Genomic DNA, 21,193 nt, shown 5'->3' on the forward strand with positions numbered 1-21,193 from the left:
GATGACAGAAGAGTAACTGGACACTGGGATTGAAGAGAGATGAAGAAAGTTAGTGTCAGAGGTGTGAGACTATATGTCCCTATCATAGATCTGACAGTAGTTTTGAATGCCTGCATCACAGAGTAGTATGGAGGTGGGGAAATGGCATCACAGAGTATGGAGGTGGGAAAATGGATTAAAATCCTAGCACAAAGCTGATACATATAGAAGTTCAATAAATTACAGCACTTTTTAAGTTTTCTGATATACGAATCCTTTCATTATGCTTACCAAGTTTAATTTATTTTACTGTCTTGTATTGTCAAAAGAACAATGTTTTGAGGCCTTCATCTGTCATGAAAAGTCCTCCATTTTCTCAGTCATTAATGGATTTCCAGTTTTTCTTCTCACTCCATTCCTTTCTCTCTCTGTTCTCATCAAGGGTGGCACTCCAAGTCAGCACTGTCCAATAGAAAGTTCTGAGGTGATGAAAATGTTCTATATCTGCACTTTCCACTTGTATGTCGCTATTTAACCATTAAGCACTTGAAATGTGGCTAGGGCAACTGAGAAAATTAATCCTTAATTTAATTTAATTTACATTTAAAGAGCCACATGGAGCTAGTAGCTACCCTATTAAACGGCACAGATGTAGAATTTTTATTTGGTAGAACATTGAAAATGGCACATTGACTGAAAAGTGGTGCTAAAGGATTTAGGCTTTGGCATAGTAAATACTTTTCTTTAAAATGTAGGTTTATTTGGTATGTCTCAGAAGGTAGAGGTGATTGTAGTTACAGGTGAATTAAAACCCTCCTCCATGGTGTTACTAAAGCTGCCTCAATTCATGCCCTGGATGTAAAATACCACTTGCAGTTCCCTGAACTCACTATTGCTGTTTCATACCTCAAAGACTTTGCTAGGACACATCAACTAGAATGCTACTCCACCCCTGGCCATCTGGTAAATACACAATTATTCATCAACACAGCTCAATTGTCATATCTTTTACATAGGTCTCTCAGGAACACCTTATAATTATTTAAAATTTGTGAGATTTTCTCTAGAATTCCCTACTGCCCTATGGCTGAAAGCGTTGTATCCCACTAAAACCACCTTTACTATTTCTATCCTGTAACTTCCTAATGCTCTCTCAGCCACATTTTCTGAATCACTTAGTATATATATATATATATATATATATATATATATATATATATATAGTGTGTATATAGATAGATGGATAGATAGAGAATATATATGACATTCTAGAAGTTACAAATGATGATCTCATCATAGTCATACCAAATGCATGCATTATGTACTTCAGTGAATAACACAATTGAAACTTAATATGCAACTTCCATTTCTTCTCTCCATTCAGAAGAAGTTTTATTTTAGTATTTTTATTCAATTTATTTTACTTTATCACATGACATTCTCATAATTTTAAAAACTTATTCAGAATATTTTAAATAGCTATAAAGGGTATAAAATGTGTTTTATGCCCTTTATTATAAAATAATTTTACTTTTTATTTAATCCAATAAGTTTTGTTTGTTTTATTTTATTTTGTGTAAGCATAAGTTTTTTTTTCTGTTTTGTGGAAGGTGTTACATTAAAGGAAGACAATATATTACTGAAATTTCTCTCTTCTTTTGCTGGCCAAACTTCTGCTATTTTATCTTCATCTTTTAAATCTGACAGTTTGTATTTAATTTTTATCAGTTTTGTCATTCCCATTCTTTTAGCTATATGGCAGCCTGAATATCTTTCTAGGGTGTATTGATTTTAGTCCTCATTTAAGTATTGTAAAAATTACTATCGATTGTCTCAAGAATGATTTTGATGTACTCCCCACCCCCAACAGCCTCCTTCATTACCAGTCTCTTCATGCTAATGATGTGAGGGTGACTTTGACTGGGAGAGAGCTAAATTAAACCAGGGTCATGCTTGCCACTGTGTCCTTGGAATGCTTTTCTTTTGGCAGCAGCACTTCTATTTGTTTCCTTTGCTCTTCCTGCAGTTTTGTGCAACAACTTGTTCAGATACGCAACTATAGTACTGGGTCCAGCTTTGTATCCATGGCAGCAATTTCTGCCCTAGTTTTATCTGACTTTTCATTTAATTCTTCTGAAAGGGAATTCATCCCTTTGTAGAGGAAACTAATGAGGCACTGGTACCAGAGCCCTGGTTCCTATGTGCCAAAAACAGCATCTTGCAAAGCTGCAAGACATATGACCTTGGGGAGTAAGTCTCATTGAGTAAATTTTGCATTTCAAACATCTTCAAATATCGTCCTACCATATTAAAGTTTTGCAAGAATCAAAAATAGATGAGTATGAATAGATACTCATTGAAGCATTTTTTCACTATTAGAAAAAAGCTCCTTTTTCCTTCTTTACACATATTTGTTGAGTATTATTTACTAATTTTTTTTTTGAGAAACACATCATGTGCAACTTCTATAATACTAGATGTAGTGTGCTGATGACAATTTGGTAGTTATGGTCAAGAAAACCTAGGTTTATTTTATAAATTCTAATAGAATTTCATAGTTCATTCTATGTTTAATTTTTATTAATCATAACTAAATAAAATCAATTCTAAAAATTTAATATTTGAAAAAATTTTTATAGAAAATTCATGTAGTAAAGGTGTTAAACTTTTAACAAGTGATACATAAACAAAAGCCATGAAAATGGTTGATGAGTTCATATTTTTACTATTCCATGTCCAGCACCTATGTGCTAGTCAGCTCAGCTTATGTGTTTGTGGAAAAAAAAAGAGGTAACAATAGAAGTCCGATTATACTTTTTCCTTTATATTTTTCTGTAAGTTAGTAAAATGAAGGTAAATAAAGTCCTTTTTTATCTTTGGATCAGAACTCTTAAGTACTGTATTTTAAAAGTTGTAACAACATATAAAGTAATTCAGAAATTTTCCAATCACCACATTGCCCAAGAGGAAAAATCACACATAATTTTATGCACTTCATATGAGCATAAGTTCAGTTTTTTACACATATGTACACAGACACAGAAAATGTGTGTCTAAAGCACAATTCATGTTGCCTTTTATTTTGTTCAAGATATTTTTTATTATTAGAGTTTCTTCCTATATTTTTGAAAATCCCATTGCATTTTGCATGTATAGGTCTTACCATTCTAATTTTTTTAAATGCATAATGACATAACTTTAAATACACAAAAACTATTTAGTAGTAGTTTATTATTGGCACTAACTGATATAGTTGGACTTACATCAGTTATAATTTTGAGAAATCCACTACTACTGTCATCCAACATAATTGTATAAAGTCTGAATTTTTAAAAAGTCTCCTTAAAAATTAAAGACGTATAAAATACGCGTATCTGTTTTAAAAGCAACTTTCACTTAGAATGCATAACACTGTGCTTAGTAATGCTTGTTCTTAATTTAAGTAATAAAAACAACATTAAAGCTAAGTTCTATTTTTTGAATAGCAACCAAAGGTAATATGAGATCAGAAAATGTCACTAAATTAAACTCCTAAGGGAAAAATTTAGATTTTAATGAGAATAGAAAATGTTTGTTTCATTTCAATGATATTTTAAGAATCATAATCTCATATTTCTATTAGATACCAAGGAGGAGGCTGGGCTTGCGTGCTTAATAATGAGATTTGTCGCAAATTTAATAGGTGGTAATATCTTTAGCAGAATACATTTAAAGAGTATTTTTAACCTAATTATGCATTGATGTATTAATGCTAACTAGCAACCAGAAAAGAAGGAAAAAAATAATTATAAGAAAAGACTACATTCTAACAGAAAGTTATAAAGGATTAGGCTTCAACGAAAGGGAATTGTCATTCTGAAAAGGGGAAAAAAACCTTTAGAAAACTCTAGACAAGATAGGTAAAAATTACAGCATTCATGGTAAGTAATAAAAACCGTAATTGTTACATGAGATAATTTTGTGGAGAATGGATGTGATGTGACAGAAATCATCCTGTCTTTACTGATATTCTGGATGAATACCAGTATTAATACACTGGTAAGTCCAGAGTAACTTTTTAAACATACTTCTGATGTTTTTAAACTCATTAAATTAATATTTAATTGAAATTACTTGCCTTCACTTCTCCTTTACAAATCACAGATACCTCACCAAGCATCACTGGTCTTCCTCTGAGGTTTATCAAAGCCTTTCCAAGGAAGCATCATTCCAAACCACTGAAACAGTTAAACTGGAGGCTTTAACACATTACCAACACAAAACACAACCTTCTCAGTAATTCCTGGGCCTTTCTCCATTTTTTCCCGGTTTTTAACACCATTTCATCTTTACATCTCTCATTTCCTGCCTGTCAGTGTGTCCCATTAGGGTACAAATTAGTTTCTTTAAATTTATTTAAACACTATTATTAAATGTTATGCATATTCTGGGCTAACCAGTCCCTTTAAAAATAGGTGTTACTTTAAAATCAGCAAATATTTAGTATTATATTCCCCTAAACTTTCTTTAGATAATTAATATAGAACATGGAATTTATGGTTGGAAAAGTAATGTGATTTTTTAAAATGAAACAGCACCCTACTAGGTCTACATGTACCAATTTTTTATATTGTCTAGAAATCACAATTTATATTCAATGCAGTTATATCCCTCTTCATTTTAAAATAATTGATACATCACATTAACTTCCTAATCACTCCCTAATATTCTCTATGCCTAATTAGTCCTGAATATTCTCAGTGCATGCTTATGCAATTTCTAACATCTAGCTAATTTTAAATACTTCCATTAGACATCTATTAGATATCAACATGCTTTTCTTCTGAAAGTTACATCTACATTTTCATTGTTTATAACATCTTATGTGTGAATATAATATAGGCTAGTGCTGCTATAACCTTACAATGAATTGTCCTAGTTTTTCTAGTCCTATTTTTCCTGCTCTTTTTCTCAGATCCTTTAAATAAAATCAAATGTGCAGTTATTAAAAAAAAACAAATAAAATATACTGGAGAAGATCCTTAAAAGGATATTTCAAAACTAAAGTTCCCACAATGAGTTTACTGGACAACTAAAGTATTAGTTAACAAAACACAAGCAAAATGTCTGAAAAATAATAGGAAAATATACTGTCTGAACTGCACAAAAACATGTCTTGAAACCCAGAGCAGTGAATCTCTATCATTATGAACAGCGAAGGATTTTGTTGAATTTAAAATGCCTCAACAATTCTATCTGTATTTTCTTTGTTTTAATTAAATTATTTCAGGAAATTCTGTATAATAATCAAATGATTTCTTAATAGCTACTCATTTTTTCAATTCATCATAATCTCTGTTTGCATCACTCACATTTTACTCTTTAAATTTTCCACACTGTGATTTATTTTATGACTCTTCTTCTCTCTGGGTGTTCTCTATATGTTTTCCACATTGTCAGTATGTTCTTTATAGAAAACTGGAGAACAATGCCCCTGCTCTGGTTTAATCCTGCATTATGATTTAAGTTCATGTCTCCTGTTCTATATCCAACTGTTGAATTTTTTTATCATTTTATGATAAAATTAACCTTTTGTCCATAGTTCTTCTGTGGTGGTGATTCATTCATTGTTTTGCATCTGAGAGTCTCCTTTTGGCACAACATAGGCATGGATCTTAAACAATAATGTGCATAATTGGATAATTTAATTATATACATACTGAATGCTGCTTGGCATAACCCATTGTTGCGAATCTCTCCATTGCAAAAGAGGAATCTGCTTAAAGTTCTGATTTAAAATGTTTACTTCTTTCTTTACTAATGCATGTACTAAAGCTGACTTAAGCACCCCTTTGCCCATTCTTTTAATCTCTTTAGATTTCATTGAATCTTAAATCTTCTAGCGTAGTATTTGCTCTTCCTCTCAATTTTGAATCATCTGCTCTTCAGCACTCTATCCAGATTGTTAATAAATATGTTAAATAGCTATGGGCCTGAAACTAATCCTGGAGGGCCTTACTAGATGCTATTTTTTTGAAAGCCCAATACATTCTATTAATAAAAACACCTATGCATTTTAATTTGATTCTCCTCTTGATATCCACCATACAATGCTGTACTGGAATAAATTTTAATACAATATTTTTGATAATAGACTTCACAAATCCTCTATTTTAATGTTATTATTAAGTTAAAATTGAAAGAATAAACTTTTTCATACAATACCAAATACAACATGTTTATATAATTCCATATATATATTTATTTTAAGCAAGTATAATAAATGAAAACATTACTACAATACAGAATGATTCAGGAGGAAACCTTTGGGCTATACATAAGCAATTACACAATTTTCTGAATCTTCCTAAGGGTTCCTCCGGTAAGCATAACAAGGGCTCTGAGTATTTGAATTGATTATTTTGAGATTTACTCTTTGGTAAACTCAAAGTGTTTAACTGATATCAGAAGTAATTCTTTTCTTTAAAACCTATAGGAATTAATAAAAGCAATACTATTAAGGACAATTTCAGTAAAGACAGTCTCCTTGAAACTAAACCTGCCTGTCATGGAAGATGTTGGCAACCATGGAGACCTTAATTTTCAGAAGAAATTTGGTGCATTTAAGGAACTGGGGCTCACTGGAATTCAAGTCAGCTATAGTTGAAATAAGCTGTCTAGCAAAATTTTACCTGAGCATTTACACAAATTACCTCCTTTCCTTCCTTCTTTTCTTTTCTTTCCTATTGTTTTTCTCTTTTTGAGAACGGGTCTGGCTCTTTGCCCAGGCTGAAGTGCAGTGGCACCATCTCAGCTTACTGCAACCTCTGCCTCCTTGGCTCAAGTCATCCTCCCACCTCTGCCTCCCGAGTATCTGGGACTACAGGCATAAGCCACCATGTCCGGCTAATTTTCTTTATTTTTAGTAGAGGCAGGGTTTCACCATGTTGCCCAGGCTTCTCTGGAACAACTGAGCTCAAGCTATCTGGCCCCCTTGGCCTCCCAAAGTGCTGGGATTACAGGCGTTAGCTGTAAGATAGAGAATCAGAGCTGTTGATCTGTACCTGGTACAAGAAGACACATTGCTCATTGTAGTTAGTAATAGTTGGCCCTGGGCCGGGCGCGGTGGCTCATGCCTGTAATCCCAGCACTTTGGGAGGCCGAGTCGGGCAGATCACGAGGTCAGGAGGTCGAGGCCATCCTGGCCAACCTGTTGGAACCCCGTCTCTACTAATATACAAAAAAAAATAGCCAGGCATGGTGGCGCGCGCCTGTAGTCCCAGCTATTCAGGAGGCTGAGGTAGGGGAATTACTTGAACTGGGAGGCAAAGGTTGCAATGAGCCGAGATCGCACCACTGCACTCCAGCCTTGCGACAGAGCAAGACTCTGTCTCTAAATAAATAAATAAACAAATAAATAAATAAATAAATAAAAATAATAGTTGGCCCTGTCACTGAAGAGATATTGTTTGTTATGGGAGCAGAGACTACATTATTTCGGAAAAAATACCATTTATGGACACTGACCTCCCTTTCTTTGCTCCATACTTAATACGATAAATGTGCTCTACATGGGAAATTGAATTTAGCTATTTGGCTTGAATTTATGTAGTATTTATATTTAATTTCACACACTAAAGAAGTATTTTATCTCCAAAATATTTTTATTACTATTTATATCTTACGATGTATTAACCACAAGATATTTTCAACCAAATATTGAATCTATTAGCTGTAGATATCATTCTAACAGTGATTGACTTTATAGAACTTTATTGCCTGTTCTTTTCTGACTCCAGAAGAGACTTAGATGTTGACCCCTAGTCAATGGATTTAGAGAACAGTATATTAGAAGAGAGCAATGAGCCAAGTAATAAAGAAATGAGATAAAAAGCATAATTTTCCTTTTCAAAATATTTATTTTTATTTTTACAACTTTAAGTTAGCTATATATGCTTATGGATTGTTTGTTTAATACTCTACTTTTCAATTCTGTCTGTAGCAGCTTGAGTCCTGGAAGCACAATCCCTGGTTCAAATCTCTGTTCTGTCACTTACTGGTAAGAATACCATGAACAAGTTACTTAACATTTCAAAATTTTGATTTGCTCATCATTTAATTAGGTAAAATAATCATAATACAATCCCGCCTTGGGTTGTGGCAAGGACAAAATTATATTATCCCAGTAACTTTTTTACGGTGTCTAGGAAAAAAACATAATTAACAAGCCATCAATTTATAGTCGATATGACACATACATAAATGCATTGTTGTTGTTATATTTAACTGAAAAGGTGCTTTGTAGTTGAACAATAGTATTTAATGTCAAACTTTCTTTATCACAAGTTCAAAGAGGTGCTGGCAGGGAAGTCTAGGTAGAGAGAGTAGTTACCAAGAAGAGGTGACAAATGGTTCTGCTCACCAAAGAGGGCCAATGCGTGCATGAATTTAACTGCTGAAACAGGCATTAGTAATCTGAAGCATCATTGTTAAAACGAAGTAAATTTTATCCACAGCCTCGAAAACAGTCTTCATGATTCTGGCCATTTTCATTCGAATGGTAAAGGCAACGTAGCCTGGATAGTAATGCCTGGCCACACTGAAGAATTTTGTCTAGTGAGCAAGGATTACAAGGAATTGTATGATTTACTATGAAAATAAGTAGTTTTTAAAATGCAATCAGTACTTACTCTATGATAATCTTTGTTTTATGTATCATGGAGTACACAAAAATAACACGGTTCACTTTAATTTTACAAAATTTCTTTTTATTGTGGCTTTTTGCCCTTTCCTCTAAATTCCTTCACAAACTGAAAATGTAATACACGAATAATACTAAGAAATTTCATGGACATACAATTCACATTGGACCTTGAAGGATGTTACAATTTTTACATTATCAGTATAAGAAATATTAAAAATGCCTGGTATAGGTTGAATGCAACCCAAACATGGGCAAGGTACTAATATTATCATTCACCATTATAAATGACATTCTTTCATGTTTTTATTATGGTTGGTTATGTAATTAATTAGGATCCATAATGAATGTTGGGTCTCAATTACTCAAGTTGTAATTTAATAAACTAACATGTCACCCAAGAAATATTATTGCACTTTGTTATGCTAAAGTCAATGCCTCCTTAAAAGTATTCTACTAAAAAAATCATTTCTTTTTGCTTTTGTTTTTGTTAGGGGGAGTCTTGAAATAACCTTATTTCAGTATAAAAAGAAATAAAACTATTTTAAAGACCTTCTTCCCAGGAAATCTATGTTGACTCTTTTGCTTAATAATGCATATACTTTTTATGTAGTAGCATTTTTTGTTTCCTCCTAGAATTGATTGCTGAAAGTTAAAAGCACTTATGACAAATTCATTTAATTCATTCTCTTCTTTGAAAACTTACCAAGCAGTACTGATTTTAAATGCTTCATTTACCTAGATATTTTATCCCTTCATGTTTTCAGTGTGTTTATGCTTCTTTAAAAAACAGGATAGACAGATAGATAGATAGATAGATAGATAGATAGATAGATAGATAGACAGATAGATACATAGAAAGATACATGGACAGATGACAGAAATAGCTATGTAGATAGAGACATTGTCAAAGTCCTAATTTATGCCATGTCAAAACTCATAATTTTGTTAAATAAATATATTTAACAGCCTTATTAAAATTTAGGTTTAGACATTGTCTAAAGTTATACAAAATTTTTATTATTTTTACAACTGCCCATTTAATATTGGCTTTGACTATACGCAATATAATATATATATGTTTTCAAGATAACAATTTTATAATGTTATATTTGGAAAATTTATGTATCTCTGAATACTTCTACTCTTCTCCTATCTCTCATGACTATTTAATCACCTTATTGCAGTAGTACAATTTAATTGTAAAACACATAATTAAGCAATCTAAGTTTGAATTTCTGCTCTAATATTTCAACCTGTGATTTCTGATAAGTTACTTACTTCTCTTTCTCTGTGTGTGTTTCTTATAGGTAAAATTGCATAAAAATAGCAACTACCTCCTGGGAATTTTATATGATTGAGTAAGATGCTTTATAAAATGAGCTTGACAACCGAGTACTTAATGAATGTTAGCTATTATTCTTAAACCAACTGTACTTTGAAAGTTTTTCTTACCTCCATAATTCAATTCAGAACTTCATTATTAGTTTCCCTGTTGTATTAGTCCATTTTCTGTTGCTATAACCGAATACCACAGACTGGGTAATTTATAAAGAGTAGATAATTATTTATGACTAGAGACTGCCTGCAAAGTGACACAAGCAATGCCAGATCTAGGCCAGTAGGGGCCTGTAGTGTCCTATTCTGTCATATGACAGACATCTGACTATAAAAACTTTTAAGACGTTTTTTCTAACTTTATAGGTTATCCATTCCAAAACAAAGATGAATTCCTTTTGAGTAACTTTAGCCTTCTATAATTTAACTTTTATGCTGTAGCAGTGGGTTGACAGAACTATGCATCTGTCATTCAATTCTTAATAAAAAAGATGTAAACATCTTAATATACATATATAATGTATGATGCTTTAAAATATATATAAATAAAAACTTCTCTTCCAACTAGTTCTGGAGGCTGGAAAGTCCAAGATCACAACACCAGCATCTGGTGAAGGCCTTCTTGCTATATCACAACATGGTGACATGGTGGGAGTCCCATCACATGGCCAGACAGAACAAGCCTGCTACCTCAATTGAGACAGGGTCTCACTCTGCTGCCCGGGCTGGAGTTCTTATAAAGCCACCAGTTCCAAGCTAAGGACCCCACCCTGATGACCACATCTAATCCTACTTACCTCCCAAAGGCCCCACCTTCAAATATCATCAACATATGTATTTGGGCATTACATTGCCAACACATGAAATTTGAGGGACGTATTCAAACCATAGCATCCCTATTTTTTAAGTGTGGGTTATAGCCCATGAGCTGGCTGTGAAATCAATTAGTTATGTCATGATAACCTTGTCTATTAATAAAAATAAAACAAAATAGAAAAATTCATCAGAGCTTATCAAATATAGTAAGGTTAAAAATTTTGTCATGAGATTTTTAGTTATACCTGTGTGTATGTTAATATTTTTATACTCTAAGTTACTTTAAATTTTTTATTTTTTTATTTTATTGGCTTTTGTTTGTTTGTTTTTGAGACAGGGTCTCACTCCTGCAACCAGGCTGAGTGCAGTGCGATCTCAGCTCACTGCAGCCTCAACTTCCTGGGATCAAGTGACCCTCCCACCTCAGCCTCCTGAGTAGCTGGGACCACAGGTGTGCACCACGACGCCTGGCTAATGTTTGTATTTGTTTTAGAGACAGGGTCTCACCATGTTGCCAAGGCTAGTCTTCAACTCCTGGGCTCAAGTGATCCACCCACCTCAGCCTACCCAAGTGCTAAGATTATAGGCATGAGCAACCGTGCCTGGCCTAAATTTTTTAAAAAGTATCATGTTAGTGTACTTACAGCTTTCCCTGAGTACTTATGGAGCATTTGACATTTCCCCATAACTAGGAATCCTACTTCCTCCAATTTCTATTTTTCTTAAGGCTGCCAGAAATAATGCTCTGAAAAATGAGTCTTTATATTTTTCCAGTTTGTTGAGAGTTGTTATTGTGAGGGTGGTCTACTTTATCAATAAAAACAAAATGTAAAATCCTTTTAAACCCTCAAATAAATGTGTCGTATAGGACTTCTTCATAAATTACATTGAACCTATTTCTCTTGGAAGTCTATGCTCCAGTCACACTGATTTGCACATGATTTCTTAAATGTCATGTACTCTTAGACAACTTAAAGATATTTTCCCTCCCAATTGTTTTCTTAGGTTTGTCTCTCAATATGCAGCTCAAATATCTCCTACTCAGGGGTGTCTCAACTAATTTAATGGGTAATTATTGGATTTCTCCTCATTCATCTCACAACATTTTGTTCTTGTTGTGTTGTTTGTGTTTTTGTCTATTTAAAATAAACAGTAACATTAATAATTATGAACTAATATTATTAGTGTATTTCATTCCATTAAAATATTGTGTGCCTCAAATTTGATTGTCAACAATGACTTTATTACTTTTGATCTAGAAAATGACATTATATTAATGACAGCATGTTGTATTTTTCTCTCCTAAGTCAAATAATTTTAACAAACAGATTACTTGGGGAAGTGAATCACTAAAAACCAATAGCACACATTAATCATGTGATTGATATATCAATGAAATATTATAGAAATATGGGCACTCTGACACAGCCATACCATCCAGAATTCAGTATTCTCAAAAGGCCCACTTAACTCATCTACTTTGGCAATCTTTCAATTCCCTTCCTTAAATTCAATTGAGTAATAGTTATTTGATTCCCTGTAATATTTTATTTTTTCTACATTTTGTTTTCAGAATTAACATCACTTGAAAACATACATTGCCTTGCTCTTCTTAATTTGCCCTATTTGTATATAGCAGGCATGTCTGTGCATATAGATTTTTGGTTTTTGTTTGTTTTGTTCTGCTTTTCATTTCAGAAACAGTTAAAACAAGTTTCGTGTCACTTCCATGTTTAAGAGATAAACAGGATTTTTAAAACTAAGTTACAGCAATAATGGAGTAAAGTAGATACTTTGTTCTCATCCTTCATGAATAAGAAAACCTGAATTAAAGTGCTCCTGAGCCTTTGGACAGCAGTACACTCTTATCTGAGAAGAGGTAAGATGGAAAATCAAACTCCGATAAAATACATGTCTTCTTTTGTTTGACATGAAATATTTAAATACCTATACTTTACGAGAGGAGCTGAGAAATACTTTTCTCACTGAGTTGCACATAGCATCTATATTATTCTGTTTGGAACCTTGGCGGTGCCCAGATTGTAAAAGTCATCAACTCAGAATCATAAAATTCAAAAGACATTTCTTGAACTTGTCTGAAGAATCATGATCAAAGGAAAAATGTGTTTCTTAGCTGGTATAATATGAATAATAAATAAAATTTACATTGCAACAATGAAGGGGAGGCTAAAATTAACACAAGTTTACCTACATAACAAACCTGTACATGTACCCCTGAATTTAAAATTTCAATAAAATTAAAAATAAATAAAAATAAATAAATGTAAATTTATAATAATACATTTTATTGTTTTAAACTTTAAAAAGGTATATATTATAGTATTTGTTTTACTAATAAAAATATTCATAGTCTAACATGCCATTTTTATCAGTTTATATATTTACTGGAGGTGTGTATTCACTTCCAATCTCAGTGTAGCAATCTAAATATTTTAGAAAGTTTTGAATTTCTCAATTTTATCATTTCATGGGCATTTTTAAGGAAAATAATCTTTGTACCAATTGCAGAGTATAGTGTAGAAAATGCAAAATATATAACGCGTAATAATTCTATTCATAGAACTCAAAATATGGTTGGAAATAACAGCATTTCAAAATGCAACAATTAGGTGAGGATAGAAACTAAACCAAAAATCCATAAAGTAGATTATCGTATAGAAGAGTGTAAAAATTTGAATTATTGATAGATATTTTAAGGTAATAATATTGAAAAAGCTTCCAAAAATGATTTAGATTCGAATAAGTGGACATAAATGTAAAGTGCACATGTAATGTAAATATTCAAATGACATTAAGACATTCGATAGTTTAAAATTGTAGAGTATCGATACAAAAAGCAACAGATTAACAGATGACAATTTATTAAAATGACTTAAGTTATTGTATACAATAATTTAACAATATACATACAATGTTACAGGAAAATAAGTAATTAGGACCAAATGTGTTTTTCCTAAGATTTGTTCAGTTGAGAGAGAAATCATTGTGGGTGTCACATGAAGGCTGGGGGTATCTTAATAGTATTGTAATTGAGTCAATTATGACTTAAATAGATATAGCATGATTTGAGATTATTCCATGCAAAGAAAAGAACATACTTCAAATAAATCGAATCATGGTTTACTTACAGGCAGTGACTAGCTTGGATTTATTCATGAATTACGATTATTTTTCAATAAATATTAAAAGACAAAATTGAAAATACTGAATAGAGGCAGATTGTTGACAAATGCAAATGCCTATAAGATAAAATATAGTGACTCATGTTATTCATTGCAGTTTATTATCATTAGTCCTCAAATGTACAACTTTGCAATGTCAATACATGCTCATACATATTGTGTCATTTAGTTGCCAAAATAATTCTTTGTACAAAGTAAGCCTTAAAGAAATTGCATTATTTGCAAGTCAAGTCATACAGTTAGTAAGCGGAGGACCCAAGACCCCAATGCAAGTATGTTTAGAGCCAAATCCAATGTATTAATGAAGATACTTTGAGTACAAATAACAGAAATCTGAATTTAACATGGCTTAAACAATAACAAAACCCATTAACTTTATAAGAGGAAGTTCTGAAGTGTCACAAGATACAGAGTTGATTGTTTCATTACCACACTGATTTAATCCAGGTATTTTTTTCATCTGTCTTGTTGTCTATTATTGGCCTTGAATTCAGCCTCAGAATGTTAGTATTTCTAGACATCACATGAAAACCTGATGATGTTCAGAAGAGATGATGCTCAAAACATAAGTAAATAAATGAATAAATAAACTTACAAAATGGGAATAAAAATACAAAGAAGAAAGTTTGTTAATGTAAAGACATTAAATTTATGAGAGCAGTTTTTTTGTTACATACACATACACAGGCACACATACATTTGCATGCACCTTTGTCTTGTTACTGTAGTTCAGCAATTTGTGAATTTTATTTATTGACTTTGTTTTTCCAAAGAGACTGTATTCAAGATTGAGTATAAAATTAAATTCTATAGAAGCACTGTATAACCTAAACAATGAGTAGATCTGTAGAATTACCAAATTTTGTCAGTATACTAATTACTGGATCATACAAGTGAGGGCATTGTATTGCTTTTTGTCAAAATCAGTTGAAAGACATGGTAGATACATTGGGATCTTAGCAATAAATTATAAAGATCAAAACAAAATGGAGGTTTGCCTAAACTGATTCCTGAAGTCAGGACACATGATATTTCACATTTTGCTTCATAAAAGTTCATCACTTTAATAAATCATCATATTATTTTTATTACAGTATGTAAGGTATTTTTAGCTTTTGTTTCTGATATAGCCAGTACAGAACCACCCCCCTGCCCCAAACACACACATACACTTACACACACCAACACTTTCCAAGTAGAGTTACATATCTCTATGTCAAGCAATAATTATTTTCTCATTTCTGGTATTGTTCTAGTTTAACTTACCCCCATGGAAATTCTTATGGAGTTTCTAAATTTTTGATGTTGATTAATCAGTAAAGTGAGAAGTTCTACTTAAAACCCACCATGAACCAAGTAACCCAGTCTAGGTGATATCTCAACTTCATTTGATCAGTTGACAGGTGTTTGGGTAACAGAATTCCGTAAGAGTTCTTTCTCAGAATAGAAGACTATCTTAGATAAACTATTTTAATACCTTGGGGTAGCTTTTTTTAGTTGGGTACATTTTTATTAGAGAAACTATCTTGAAAGAAAGATCTACTGATTTTCATGCAGAGGTGAAAATGTATTAATTGTGATTGAAATTCAACAGAAGTATTAGCTTTATATCTCTGGGCTTTAGTTCTCAAAGGACTTTCCTACCAATAAGTACTTTCCCATTCTCTCTGACAGGCAAAATTTCTCTTGTCCTTCAAGACTCCAATGTAATTATTATTTTAAAAAAATAAGAAATTGCTCTTTCCATGTAATAGTCTATCCAATAAATATTTTATATTCAAGTGTTTCCCTCATCTGTGAAAACTATCTCAGAACTTCATATAGAGTATTCCTCTCCCTGTGAAAAATCATAGTTGTTAGTGTTCATTTTCACAATACACCATAATGCTCTTTCAATTATTAGAGTACTTATCATAGAACAATCTTTGAAACCTAAGCAAGTAAATTGTATCTATTGCACAGAAGATGCTAAATACTGAATAAATGAAAGTAACTCTATTAATTAGAATAAAAGCAATTTCTGAGAGGTTGAGTAATAGTTAAAAATATTATAAGATTATCATTACAGGACACAAGTCTTCTGTCATTTTAATTATTGCTCCATACTCTGAAGAAGCAATTGCAAATGTGTACTAGAATATGTCTCTGTGTATGTGAACACATAACTTACATTTCATAGTATTTTTTTTGGATTGTTCTTGAAATTACCATTAACATTGATTAGCGATTATCTGCATTAAGAGGAGACATGAAGGATTCTTCTGTTTGGGTGCACCTTATGCTCAGATAGAGGACTTAAATAAAGTCAAATTTCAACCATTGTGGGTGTAACATGTTTAAAAGAATATTTTCAAAAAGCTTGTCTGAAATTTGCAAAAATAACAATTCATAGAGAGCATGATATAACCATTATGATCATTTTTTGTGTAGTTTATGCTGCCTAAGGAAATTGTGTCCAAAATTGCTCTTTCGTCAGGCATTACATTTTAGGAGAAAATAAAGTTATCTAGATTTGAGGCTGCTTAAACGTGGAATGTAAGTACACAAAATTGGAATAGAAGTGAAAATATATACAATAAAATAAATCCAGTCATTGTTTTATATTTATTAAAGCTTTGGGTAAGTTTAATAAATATTTGTCCGAGGTAAGTATCAGAACTTAAGATATTTTATTGTGGTCAGCTGTGAATACTCATTGACTTTATTACAGCCTATATTCTTTGAAGACCTATGATTATAATAGAAAGATATTTTAACATCTTCTTAGAAAATGTTATATATGCTATCTATATAGAATTTGCTTATTTCTCCAGTCATTTAAATCTAATTCATTAAAAGTTGAATTACTGTTGTATGAAAAGGTTTTAAAATGGATCGATTAAGATAGCTGCATTATAAGGATAGAATTTCAGTAAAGCCCAGTAAATTGAACTATCTTTAACTGTGATTTTTTTAAAAGTAATTCATTGAAATAATCACTTATATACACACAGAGGAAATGTTGATTGATTTATAAATTAATAGTATATCAGAAAGATTTGGGTTTTAAAAAAGCATCAATTATTTTTAATTATTTAATATTTTAAAATTTATTATATAATGCTGATAAAATTGGCACAGAGTCTCACTTGTTTCACGTAATTATTATAGTAGTGGGTAGAAAAATTGTGAGAATATACTCAAATACAAAATGCTCTGTGGGCATCTGGTTCAGAAAATAGCCATTTTATTAAAATCATAGCATTGGAAAGAAGTGGGAATGAAAAGATGTCCTTTTAATAATAATCAATTTAGTGAAAACATTGTGAAAATTTGTACACAACTAAGTCACAGTATTTTAACATTTACTAAATTTTTTTAAAATAATAAATCCCCTTCTCATAAAACTTTCTGAAACCAGTTCTTCCTTCTGACTTCCTTTTTCTATTTATTTCATCCAGTGAATAAAATGGAGTCTTGGAGTCATTTTTACCCTTTTGCTTCTATTATCCTATTTCCCTTTACTTCTTACATCTCAGGGATTTCCAAGGAGCTTTGAAAACAGCAATGTAGAACATGGTAGGTTGGATGAAAAGGCAGCCTGGAAATATGCAGGAAGTGAATATTTAACGCCTCTGTACACTGAGACTAATTAGTTACAAGAAATATAAGAAAGCCCAGCCAGTTGTACAGCATGCAGTGCTCAGACAGTGCAGTGGCAGGATGTATCTGGCAGTCCAGATGGGTTCCAGCAGGCAGTGCATTCCAGCAGGCAGCCTCAGAGCAGAGAGTACTCAAAGATCCAAACCAGGACAAGGGCTTAGAGACAATAGGCATCAAAAGAGACAGGCGGCAGGTGTCAAGCCCCGTTTCAGCAGTGAAACAAAAGCAAAAGCCCAGAACCTAATAGAACTAATGACATTAATCGCAGTACCCATGATGCTCAGATACTCAGTTCTGATGTTGTTGTTGCTCTGAGCTACTTGACTTAATGCAGAATTGCTCAGGTGTCCATTTTAGAGACCTTAGCTTTTCTCTATAGATGAGACCTGAATCATACCCCGTTTTTTTGAAAAGATATTCAGGGTCTTTTTACACTGTTCTTCCATGTCTTCTGTTGAGAACTGTCAGTTCTGCTATTGTTGAATGTGTCTTAACAAAAATAAAAATTTCCAATGTATTCTTCTCCTATATTAATAATATCTTCAGTGACTATTCTACTTGTACCCCTTTCTTCTTCAATCCAAACTAGGTAATGTTGCCTGATTAATCTGCTGGACAAAGTAAATTCAGTAAATTCAGTGGCTCAGACTTGTGTACCAAATTAGATGTGAATGTTTCTTTATAACGTTCAAAGTTCTTTAAAATAGAAACTCAATTTACTGCTCAAGCCTCATATCTTATTATTCTAGTATCATGTCTTACTCAGCTTTTACATGTAAATTTGCTTCACTTATTCTGAAGAATTAGTATTTACTGAGTTTTTAAATATAGGTTTTCTAAATTTATTTTGATTTTCTTCTTTCTGCTAAAAATACAATCATAAACTTTAAAACTGCTTTCTTCCAATAAAAGTTTAATCTCTCCATAAATGGTCACCTGCTAAGCCAAGTTCTCCGTGTGTCCTTTCATTATCTCCTGATTCCAATAGAAATTTACTTTTTGAGCAGGGTTGGTATGGGGGTGAGATTGTGAACTACTTACAGATTTTTCTCACATTTGCCTAAAAACAGTATGGGCTGCTAACATAGGCAGAGCAGTTAGGGAGTAATGAGGGTGGGGGAAGAAGAGAAAAACAGAACACATTCAATCTATACAACTTCTACTTAACAAAAATTGCTGAAATTTCATTAATAACGCAGAGATTCAGGTCAGCCAATGTGACCTGCAACAAAAATTCTTATGGACAGGTTTTGCTATGCTTGTTTGAAAACAAATGTATATTACATACATACATACATACATATATTCACATAGTCATCGGATTGGAGCTGCCTGCTTTGAATTTCTACAGCTCTGGGCTGCATTTGTTTCTATAATGACATCTGTAGTCAGATTTCTCAAGTTCAGTTCCTTGCCCAGAACTACTTGTTTATTTAATTTCAAATTTATACTCACACTGCTTTATACTTAGATTTCCATATGTTGTGCCATTCTGTCACTGAGTACAGTATGTGGAGTACAAGGTGTCATATATTTATCTCATTTCCATAATTTTTCTTATACTTTATTAGTCTGGATACCCATAGTTTGGGGTTTCATGTAATTAAAACTGCAATAATTCTGGTAAATTAGGGAACATGATTTAGAACTCTCAAAAAGTACATCCACTTCTAACTTTTACAAAAGTTATGCATTTCAAAGTAAAGATTTTTCATAAGAGTTATGATATCTCAATAGGGCAATTTTAATTAGTTAATGTTTAATTGACATTGAATTAATTAGTTAATGTTTAATTGCCACTGGAAAAAAAATGTATTCTGAAGATAACATTCTCTCCTTCTCTAGGAGGTCCAAGACATAAATTATAATGCATTAATATGTGGATTTTAGTCAGTGTCAAAGTATAGGGAAAATGGAAGCAAACATTAAAATGCACAGAATAAAAGTTAACATCACTAAGGTTAACTGTCATTAATATAACATTTTGGTTTCATGGTGTTCTTCATTACTGTAGTTGTGCCATGCTGTGTGCTTTGAGTATTTTAATTTTTAATATATGTCAACATCGCTTCTGACCTCAGGTTTAAATTTCAATTCAAAGCTCTATGATGCAAATACCTTCAAGAACTTCCCAAACATAAATTCAGAAAGAAACTCCCTTTTAGTTTGAATGTAAACAAATGTTTTCAGGGAAAAATGTTGATGCTATAAATATGATTATTCTTTTATAAAAATACACAAACTGTTTCATCACAAACAGGCAAAAGTATATTAAAATAACAAAAGCTAACTAGGGTTGATCAACAAAGAAAAAATTGTTTTTACAAGTCGAATCTACATTTCTACAAGTTAAAATCCACCAGGAGGCTTTTAATCCAAGGAATAATTTTTTTAATTTAAATCCATAGAAATGTTTGTCAAATTAGACAGTTTTAAACATTTATTTATAGTGCTTTTTAACAGTCTTTATTTCCTAATTGTGAATAATAATGTTGGTGAATTGCTACAATTCATTTGAATCTGTCTTTCTTGCATTATACAAGAAAAACTCACCAATTTTTAAATTTAAATTTAATTTTTTTCTTACCTAGCAAATTACCAGAGGAAAAAAGGTTGATTTGAGATAAGAGATTGCTTTCACAATAAAAATATAATCAGAACGCAAATCCCTGAGTCTGAAGTTGTAAAATGATGTGTGCATGATGGGCAAAAGAGACCTGGGAGAAATTGAAGGTTTCTAACAGCAATGCCTGACCTCAGTGGAGTGCTTTTTCACCTGCAAAGTGACACTCGCTTAATCCTCACTGTAGGAAAATTTCAGGGCACGTATCCTTCTCTGTTAACAATAGGGGATAATTTAGATCAAAAGCTTTCAAGTGTTCTACCTAAAGTCAGGGAGTGATTAAGGCATGGAATAAAAACAAAAACCAAGTTTCTAAAATTGCAAGACTGATACTATTTTCATTGCACAAAACATTTTCAACCCTGCATCTCTCCTTAAAAATGTGATAGAAGTAACTTCTTTCTAAATTTATTTCAGAGGTTTTAAGGGTATAAATAATTTCTGAGAATAAAAGAAATAGCTTTATAATTCAAATTTATTTTAGACATATTATTTACCCTTTAATTTACCTTTTAATTGGAGGTTTACATTATTTCTTTAGGACAAAGAAAAATCTTTATCCTTTCTTGCAAACTTTGGTTGATTTGTCTTTACTTTGATCACGGCATAATGGAAATGTATAATATTAGAATGTTTTTGTGACTGATAGACTGTGGAAATTCCTTTTTTATGCCTCAGTAGGTTTTAATTTCACTATTTCAATTTCCCAAATTGTATTTAGTTTAGAAATACACCATATTGCTTACTGTTCCAGCCCTCTATTAGTTTTTTCAGTGTTGTAACATTGATTGTTTTCTCAGATCTCATTTAGCTAGTTTCACCCTTGAAAAAGGAAATGCAGTTTCTGTCAATGCTATCTTAGGGTTATCAAAGGGCTAAAAATTTCAGATAAATATCACAGTTTTAGGCAAT

General features: G+C 32.0%; 1 long non-coding RNA gene across 1 annotated transcript; it reads right to left on the reverse strand.

Annotated features, from left to right (window-relative positions):
• Window positions 1-366: 366 nt before the first annotated feature.
• On the reverse strand, window positions 367-14,069 carry LOC105370238 (uncharacterized). Its single transcript, XR_942028.1, has 3 exons — window positions 13,963-14,069; window positions 8,381-8,571; window positions 367-441 (listed from the first exon to the last, which is right to left on the reverse strand). It is a non-coding gene; the product is annotated as an uncharacterized LOC105370238 (long non-coding RNA).
• Window positions 14,070-21,193: the final 7,124 nt, after the last annotated feature.

Source organism: Homo sapiens, chromosome 13 (genome assembly GCF_000001405.40).
Source record: "Homo sapiens chromosome 13, GRCh38.p14 Primary Assembly".
Classification (NCBI taxonomy): Eukaryota; Metazoa; Chordata; class Mammalia; order Primates; family Hominidae; genus Homo; species Homo sapiens.